This window comes from Homo sapiens, chromosome 1 (assembly GCF_000001405.40).
Source record: "Homo sapiens chromosome 1, GRCh38.p14 Primary Assembly".
In the NCBI taxonomy this organism is placed as follows: domain Eukaryota; kingdom Metazoa; phylum Chordata; class Mammalia; order Primates; family Hominidae; genus Homo; species Homo sapiens.
Window position 1 is genome coordinate 201,103,017 of NC_000001.11, and position 9,494 is coordinate 201,112,510.

The 9,494-nt window shown below is 51.2% G+C and overlaps 1 protein-coding gene across 2 annotated transcripts in view, besides 1 other annotated feature; it reads right to left on the reverse strand.

Annotated features, from left to right (window-relative positions):
- CACNA1S (calcium voltage-gated channel subunit alpha1 S) overlaps positions 1–9,410 on the reverse strand; it is a 72,915-nt gene extending 63,505 nt beyond the window's left edge. For both annotated transcript variants that reach the window (XM_005245478.4, NM_000069.3), the window contains exons 1-2: positions 9,172–9,410; positions 7,148–7,253 (exon numbers count right to left, since the gene is read on the reverse strand). In XM_005245478.4, the coding sequence (XP_005245535.1) occupies positions 7,148–7,253; positions 9,172–9,323 (258 nt within the window). In that variant the 5' untranslated portion in view covers positions 9,324–9,410. The remainder of the gene's footprint in view (positions 1–7,147; positions 7,254–9,171) is intronic.
- Positions 843–1,359: an enhancer, noted in NCBI's record as "H3K4me1 hESC enhancer chr1:201072987-201073503 (GRCh37/hg19 assembly coordinates)". NCBI's record gives its function as "activates a minimal SCP1, AML or CMV promoter by ChIP-STARR-seq in primed H9 embryonic stem cells {active_cell/tissue: H9 hESC(primed)}" and the evidence as "EXISTENCE:reporter gene assay evidence [ECO:0000049][PMID:30033119]".

Here is a 9,494-nt window from a genome sequence, read left to right on the forward strand (position 1 = left end):
AACAGTCCTGAAAAGAAAGATATTGTGGACCAGCCTGACCAACATGGTGAAACCCTGTCTCTACTAAAAACAAAAAAAAATTAGCCAGGTGTGGTGACGTGTGCCTGTAGTTCCAGCTATGCGGGAGGCTGAGACAGGAGAATTGCTTGAACCTGGGAAGTGGAGGTTGTAGTGAGGTGAAGTCGTGCCACTGCACTCCAGTCTGGGTGACAGAGGAGACTTGGTCTCAAAAAAAAAAAAAAAAGAAAGAAAGATATTGTGGTCCTCTGTTCACAGATGAGGTAATGGAGGTTCAGAGAGTTTAGGAAGCTGCCAACCAGTCTAGATTGGAGGCAGGTTGGTTTGACTTGAGAGGCCGTCCTTTCCTGCGACTCCCCAGGGAGCTAGCAAAGCTTGGGCAAAGGCTTTCCTCCAAGGCTTTCCTCCAAGGCTTCTGTTGTTCAGCTATTACAGTGTCTGCAGCCCCTGTGCCTGGTGTGAAGGGGCATGGGTTGGGATGGGCGGGGGAGAATCTAAGTGCCCTGAAAGGGGACCTGAGTTCTTGCAGTGGTGGGAGGGCAGGCTCCCAGGTGGGTCTAAAATCCAGGCTTTCATTCATTTCCACAGACCCTTTTGGAGCACCATCACTTCTCTGTACAGTGGCCCAGGCTCAAACCACCCTGTGCTCTGCAGGTCCTGGATCTCTAAGGGGTGAGGCCAGAGCTGCGGTCCTTCTGAGGCCCCAGCCTCCCCAGATGGCGAGGGGAATGGGCTGCTGGCCACAAGAGTTGGCGAGCGCATTCCAGACCCTATAAAAAGACAAACGCCCTGGCTGCCAGAGGCTTAGGCTCCAGCCTCGTGGAGGACGCTGCAGCAACTTGAACCCCAGGAATGCGACAGGGGCCTGGTGGAGCCTGCTGATGCCTGAGGGGTGGGAAGCCACCCTGCAGCCCAGGAGGGGCCAAATGGGCAGCCATCTTGCAGAGCTTGCCAGGCCCTGCCCTGCCCTGCCCTGCCCTCGAGGAGAGCAGGCACCATCTACTTAAGAAAAATCTAAATTATCCAGAACTTGGAAATAAAGCAAAGAAAGGATGCCATATCTTTGTAATATCATGTTGGAGCATTTTATAACAGGCCTGGCCAAGGATTATCTAATTATCCAGGTCAGGGTTTCTCAACCTCAGCCCTAATGATATTTTGGTCTGGATACTTCTTTGTTGGTGGGAGGGGGCTGTCCTGTGCATTGCAGGGCCCCTGCCTCTACCCCACTAGATGCTAGTAGGACACATCTCCGCCCCTGCCCCTCCCCCTCACAATTCCAGTTGTTGCCAAATGTCCTCTGGGGCAGAACTACTTCCCCTCCCCAATCCCTTGAAAACCACTGACCTAGGAGGGAATGTAACTTTGTTTAGCTCTCACTATTCTGTCCTCTAGAGATGCAAATGAATTCTGCCTGATAGGAAGATAACCCCAATGGTTAGAGTTTTATTGCCCTGTAGGACATTAACCAGCTTGGTATCTAACCTAGCAATCCTATTCCATCATTCTCTCTCCGGTGTCATAACTTCTGCTGCTCTAATTCCCTTTAACTCAGCTTCACACGCCTGCTTGTTCTCTTTTGAGTTGAACTAATCTTTGATATGTGTTCCTTGGATATTTTACTCACAGTTGTGTTTTCACTTTTTGAACATCATACTTTGACATAGGATTGCTTTGAGGGTGAAATGAGATAATGTAGCAAAAGCAATCAGTTTATCATGTCTGCCCAACAATTAGGAAGTCTGATAATTGTTTTTGCTTTTCCACATTGGTCCCCTCAGCCTGGCCTAGGCTGGAATGGTAACCCTGCCCAATAAAGGATGTAGGCCTGCCCACAGAGCCACCTGGGCATGTGCAGTGATCTAACCTCTCTGCGCTGTGGTTTACTCCTCTGTACAAATGAGAAAAATAAAAGTACCTGCCTCATGGGCATTCAGTGTGATAACACATATAAGGCATTAGAACAGTGACTGACAATATGCAAGTAATCGATAAATATTGAATGTCATTGTTGCTGCTGCTGCTGCTGATTTGCTGGAGGACTGGGGAGGGGTGATCAGGAAAGCCATTAAGAAAAGTTAGGGGTTTCAAGGAGAGAAGACACAGAGTTAAAGAGAAATCAGGGACAAACGATGGGCAGGGTGAAGAGGAATTCTTTACCTGAAATAATCCTTTGGCATAACTGTTGGGGGTTAGACCCTTTGAATCTAGAACAACCTGGGGGTCTCTGTGACTATAGGCTTTTTGGCTGGTGAGCCTGCTCTGTGGGGCCTGCATGATCAAAGTTCCTTCTGTTGATAGATAAAGCACTACAACTTAGAAGGTCTTCACTCATCCAGTTACCTCTCTCAAGTATACAATATCATCCCCATTTTATAAAGGAGGAAACTGAGGGAACAGAAAGGTTACATAACTTGTCTAAGATCACACAGCTAGTAGGTGAGTGGGCCTGGGCTCAAAAGCAGATTCTAGCTCCAGAACCCATTTTTATAACCACCATGCCATAATGGGCTGATTTCAGAGGCCCGTGCCACTGTGACATCCCACAGTTGGCCAGGATGTCAGCATCCTGGATCCTCCTCTTGCCACCCTCTGATCAGCTGCATATTCATTCCCAGGACTCCTTGCTCTCTCTGGGCCTCAGTTTCCTCTTCTATTCAGGGAAGATCCTGGGATTTCCCACAGACACAGAGCAGGCAGAGTCAGAGGTGTACCTCTAGCCCCAGGAAACCCGGGCCCCAAGTCTATTACCCTCAGCCAGTGCTGGCAGAAGGGATATGGAGGGACACTGCCAAGGGAGCCTATTCCCACAGACAGCAGTCACACCCCCGGCCCTGCTCGCACACACGGCAACTGAGGGAAGCCCTTCTTGCCCACAACCATCCCCGCCCCTGCCCCACCCAGCCAGTTTGGCATGTGCCAAAGTGAGGAAACCTCTGTCATAAAATGCTTGGACCTGCAAATCCAATTACCCATCAGTGGACACAGGCACCTGTATCACCACACATCTGAAGTTGAACTCACCACCTTCCTCCTCCCTACCCCCATCTGCAGTCTTGGTAAGTGATACTGCCATCTGCTCTGTCCACTTCTGACCCCCAAGTGTCATCCTCCCCCTCCCCCACACCTCCATCCCCACCTCCAGTCCTCACCATGGATTCCACCTGGCAGGTCTTTCTTAAGGCCACCTCACAGCCATCTTTACCATCACCAGTGCCTTGGCCCAGCCTCCCCTGTTTCCTGCCTGGATGACTTCCCTGGGCTCCCTGCCCCCTTCCCTGCTTCCCATCTCACCCCACGTCACCCCAATCCATGCTCCACATGGGGCCTGAGAGATTTTTCTAAATCCCCCCCTGACCTCTCTGTCTCTTGCCTCCAGCCCTTTGCCCACGTGGCTTCCTCTGCCCAGAATCCCCTCTCCCGCTTGGCCTTCTACAATGCGCTCCTTCACAGCCAGGCTACATAATGGGGGGCCCAGTACAAGTGAAAATGTGGGCCCCCACGTTCAAACAGTAGGAAATGAGTGCTGATGAAGGTACTAAATATAAAGCTTTTCCCTTTCTTTCAGCCCCTTTCTCAGCCTACTGTGGTGTCTTTTGATTGCTGTTCAGTGTTGTGCAGGGCAAGTGCAGATTGCCACAAGCGCCTCCTCCTAATCTTCCCCCTCCACCCTCACCATCCCACAGCCCGACATCCTGTGCCCTGGCCAGAGGTGGAGGTGTGGAGCCAGGCATCTCCCCTTCACTCAGACCCACCACCTCAACCCATAGTGGACATCCGGCACCCAAGGGTGTTGCAATCTCTGCTTCCTGGGAAACAGTAAGTACCCAGAATCGGGGAGGGCCTTGGAGGCTCAACCTCATAGGTCATTTACTGAATGGACTGCAGCAATGTCAGCCCAGGGTAGAGACAACCAGAGCCATGTCCTTCCCTGAGACACGGCCCTTCCCATTCTCCCACTCAGGCCTCTGCCAAGTGGCCCAGGACCCCAGAGGGCAAAACATCAAGCTGAGAGCCCCTCCTTAGAGGCAGGGAGATGGCAGAAGTCAGGACCTTTTGTGAGCCAAGGTTCCAAGCTTGAGGTGCATGTGCCATTGTCCCAATGGACTTCACTTACAAATCATAAATTCAAAGATAAAATTAATTAAAATCTCAATACTTTGACCACAGAGCATTCAACCCCAAATGTGGGGCCCTTCTGAGTGGGAGTCCTCTGGGACTGCATAGGTGGCACTTGTGTGAGCTGTCCCTGTCCTCAACCTTTAGGTCTCAGGTTAAACATCCCATACTTGGGGAAGCCTTCCTGATCTCAAGACTAGCTTAGGTTCTCTGTCAATATGCTACCATAATATCCCCAAATCTTGAACCTTTCCCATTTCATTTTAACTACCTGTTTAATTGGTTTTATTATATTTACTTGTTTAATCCATGTAATGAAGCTCTGTGAAGATGGGAAATGTGTCTATTTGGTTCACAGTGATATCCCCAGTATGTGCCAGGGATGTGATAGACACTAAAGATGCATTCGTTAAATGAATGAGAAAGGTCATGAATAATTAAACCTTAGGCCTCCTTTCTTGAAAGCTACGGGTTATTCTGGATGACTGGAAAGACCCCAACCCTTCTCTGCTACCTACAAAGCAGCCAATAGGGCAAGAGAGAGAGTGCCTACTGCCCTTTTCTACTCTGACTCCTCTCATCTCCCTCTTGCTGGGTTTTGTGGACATGAACAGTGAGGACCCCTGAGCTCGAAGGTGGCTGAGCGACCTTGGGTATCACCGACTTTCTCTGGGCTTCACAATTAAGGGGTCAGGTTAGGAGTCCTCACTGAGCATTCATTTCCCATAGAGCTCTGACATGCCAGGTGGCATTTGCTGCTTTGGAAACATTTCTGATTAGGTTTCCGACTTGCAGGGAACTCATAATACTGTCTCTATGAACTCTAGGCCTAACCCAAGGTTTTGCAACTCCAGCCCACAAACTAAAGAAAAACATACACAGGACCACGTGAAACAGTTAAGGGAGCCAATTTTGTTTCAGGATGGAAGATGACATAACCATTAAGATGTAATTTTTTTTTTTTTTTTTTGAGACAGGGTCTCACTGTGTCACTCGGGCTGGAGTGCAGTGGCATGATCTTGGCTCACTGCAGCCTCGACCTCCCAGGCTCAAGCAATCCTCCCACTTCAGCCTCCCGAGTAGATGGAACAAGAGGCATGCACCACCAGGCCCCGCTAATTCAATTTTTGTAGAGACGGGAGTCTCTCTATGTTGCCCAGGCTGGTCTTGAACTATTGGATGCAAGATTTCTTCACGTCTCAGCCTCTCAAAGTGCTGGGATTACAGGCATGAGTCACTGCATCCAGCAGAGGTAAAATTTAATATCCTCCAAGGTGGGGCAGAGTTTTTTTACAAAAGTAGTCAATGTCACAGGGAACTGAGGCCCAAAAATATGAAATCCTGAAGGGTGGGGTAGACCTAGAGCTCTCCCTGCATTCAGGGACATGGAGACTAACCCTATGGTGTAGAATGCCCAGAGTTTAAGAAATGCCTTCCTTGCCGGCAAAGGTGGCATTGGCCCTGCCAACATTTAATCCCACTCTCCTTCCACACTCAGGAGCTCAGAGTGTTTTCCCCTCATAGCAAGCACACATTTAGAATCCCAGCTTCCCATCAGCTCAAGATAGATTCCCATGGAAACCAGCATAAAGGAAAGGCAGAGATGTGTCAGGCCCTGGACACATGCAAATATGCCTCCTCCCTCCCAGGCCCTGCAGTTTCAGTGCAGGAAAAAAGCCCTGTTGAAAAGGTGGTTCCATTGTTCTGTCCCCTAGGGAGCCTGAGGCCACTGTTTATAAGAGGGCTTCCCCTAGAAGTCTTTCTGCCGTCACCCATCACCTTGGCAACACAGCCTGTACAAGAGCAGGTTCTGGCTAGGTGTGGTGGCTCACACCTATAATCACAGCACTTTGGAAGGCTGAGACTGGTGGATCACCTGAGGTCAGGAGTTCGAGGCCAGCCTGGCCAACATGGCGAAACCCCATCTCAACTAAAAATATGAAAATTATCTGGGCATGGTGGCAGGCGCCTGTAATCCCAGCTACTTGGGAGGCTGAGGCAGGAGCATCACTTGAACCCAGGAGGCGGAGGTTGCAGTGAGCCGAGAGCCGAGATCACACAGCCTGGGCAACAGAGTGAGACTCTGTCTCAAAAAAAAAAAAAAAAAGAGGTTCTAAAATCAGAGAGACCAAGCTGGAGGCCCTACCACAAGATATAGATGTGGGTGACCCTGGGTAATGTGCCTAAACTCTCTGAATATCAGTCTCCTTTGTCTTTTAAATGGGTCTAATAATGTTACTTACCCCACAGGAGTAGTTATAGGGATTAAATAATACAATAATGTAAAATATTTAGCACAAATCCTGGCATTTAATAAGCACTTACTAAATGCTAGCCATTTTTATTATTAATTAGCTATTGAGTAAGTAAGTCCCTGAACCTCTCTAGGTCTCAGTTTTCTCATCCATAAAACAGAATGAGGTGGGGAGGAGGTAGGACAGCTTAATTTTTGAATATTCCTTCCAGCCCTGGCATTTTATGGTTCCAGGTATGTGTTACTGATGAAGGGGTGAAGAGATAGTGGTATTATAAAACTCTAAAACATGTCCTTGCTTCAGATTCCTGGATAAAACTCTCCCATGAAGGCAAACTTAGTGGACACAAGTTTCTTATGAATTACATTTGGGGAAGAGAAATTAGCATTCAACCTCTGTGGCTCACTAGCTGACCTTACTAAGCCTCAGTTTCCACATCTGTCAAATGGAACCACTTTATGAGTTGGTTGTGAGGATTAAATGAATTTACTCTCATCAGGTATTAGCACAGTGCCTGGGACCAATGAGTGCGTGCTTAGTGCTGGCTGACAGTATCAGAATCTGGAATAAGCAGGTTGACCCTGGAAACCCATTGAGCCACTCAGCCAGCCCTGCAGGTGGCTGGGGATGCAGGGCCTGCATCGTCAGGGAGTTGAACCACCGGCACCATCCCCCAGAACAGAGTCCACCAAGGGGGCCTCCCCAAGCCTGGGGCTGCAGGCTCGCAGGAAGGGAGATGGAAGGGCCAATCTTACCAGGCCGAGGTTCAGAGAGTTGTTGTCATCTTCCGGCATGGGCAGGTACACGGCCAGGGCCACACAATTGGCAAAGATGGTGAGCAAGATGATCGTCTCGAAGGGCCTGGAGCCAGGGTTAAGGAGAGCCCTCGAGTGAGGCAAGGGACTTACAGGGTTAAGGGGATGAGGGCGCTGAGGGTCAGTCTGGACTGTGACTCTGATGCCAGGCTGCTGGACAGGCTCATGGACGCTCGCCCACGCTGCTCCTTCCCTGAGCCCCTGCAGGGTACAGTGAGGACCAGGTTCCTGCCTTGACCTCTGGCTCCCTCTCCTCAGGAACAAGTCACTTTCATGTAGACTCCTTGGAATGGCAAAGGTCTGGTCCCTGGCTGAGGGCTCCTCAGCTTTAAGGCCTAGGGGGTCTTCACACCGCTCCACTCTCAGCGCCTGTCCATGCCCTTGCCTGCTCCCAAGGAGCCATGACTTTGGCAGATTCTGGCCAATCCACAGAGGCTTACCCAGATAAATGGCATGGGAGGGTAAGGGTTGATGCAGGGTAAGGTTGAGAACTCACTGAGTAGGACTGGGAAGGAGAGATGGAGAGATGAATGCTGAATTTCCAGAGCCATGTGCACATGCTGGTGTGCACGTGCTCACACCCATCACACCTCACCCCTCCCAGACACACCCACCCCGCCACAGCCATTTCCAGAGGGTACCCCAGGCCCATGGCTTTCTCGACTTTCTGGCCCATTAGGCAGCAAGTCTGGAAAGAGCTAGAGAAAGCAAGGGAGGAAGCGAGGGAGTTGTTTGGGGGTGGATGGGGAGGCATATTACGTAGTTGGGCTTGACAGAAAAATCCCATTCTCTTCCCAGTAACCTCCAGTGTTTGAGAAAAGAGGAGGGCCACAGGGGCAGGGCGCAGAGGAGCAGAGGATGGAGGAGAGGGAGAACCCACAGAGTAAACCTGATTGCAGAAGAGAGGCAAGGAGGGAGGGCCTAGGAGGGTTTGATGTGGGCGATATACCGCCTGGCCGAGAGCGGGTCAGGGGAACAGGGCTGACCCTGACCCCAAACTATCTCTACTTGCCCCACGTTTCTCTTGTCCTTCCAGTTATCCCTCATTCTCCTTCCTTCTAGGGAACAGCTGGTAGGAGCCCAGCCTTCCAGAACTCTTCAGAAATATTTCAAATATGCCCCACCCTCGCTCTCAGAACCCACTTGACACAGCCCTCCCCTTCTCTCTGTCACTCCTTCCTCCCTTCCCCAAATAACCCAGATATTTTCATCATTCTCCCCACCAGAGCAAATGCAAACATAGCATGAGTTTCAAAGTCCCTGTCCCCAGGGTGGCACGTCTGAGCTAGAACAACCAGGCTTGTTTGGCCTGTGTCTTGGAGCCACTGAGACCAGGTGTCTTTCAGATCCATTTCTCCCCTTGGCTCTGTCCTCAGCTGGGACCTGCCCCCAGAGGAAGCCTTCCTTCAGCTCACCTCTGTCCACTGTCACCCCCCACCCAACCCAAACAAGGGAGAGTTTTCTCAAAGAGGCCATCGCATCTTTTTTTGGTCCCTATCCTATTCTAAAATGAGGCTGGTGCTTCAAAAACCTAGTGGCACCCCATGATAATGTGGATTTGGGCACACATGGGAACAGTCCCCATGAAACAGGCCCCACCCATAGGTGGTCAGTAGGCATCTCTGGTTGTCATCCAGGACTTGGGTGGCCCACTCAGGCCCAGGAAGCCCCACCAAGTCCTCCTTCTCTTCCTCTTCCTCCTCCTCCTCTTCCTCCTCCTCCCCCACCCTCCTCCTCTTCCTCCTCCTCCCCCACCCTCCTCGTCTTCCTCCTCTTCCTCCTCCTCCTCTCCTGCTTAGCCGAGGGCTCCTTCCCCCAGCTCCTCACTCAATTCTGTGAGTTCACCCCATGTCTAAGTGCCAGGCCTCCCTGGCCCTCCTGTAGGAAGTTTGTGCTCTGTGATCACCCCGAATCCCTCCCTCATGACGCACACCCCCCCCCACGGCCCGGGCCCTGAAGGATACTTCCATTCTACAATGCTGATGCAGGCCTTCCTCAGGGGGTTCTCCAGGGTCAGGCAGAACAAGGCCCGGGGTGGCCTTGGCAGAATCTCAGGAACTGGCTTCTTGGGCTGTTTCTTCCTCAGGCCTTCATCCTGGGGTGAGGATGGCTCCATGGCTTCCCTGGGAATCTGGCTTTCTCCTGCTCCCCCACCCCAGTGCTTTCCCTTCCCTGTGTCCCCAATGCCCCCGCCTTGGGGACTAGGCTGGCTGAGGCTGTCGGCTGAGCCTGCCCTGCTGAGCCAGCCAGGGGGCGGGGGCAGGAGTGGGGGCAGGAGGATTACTCT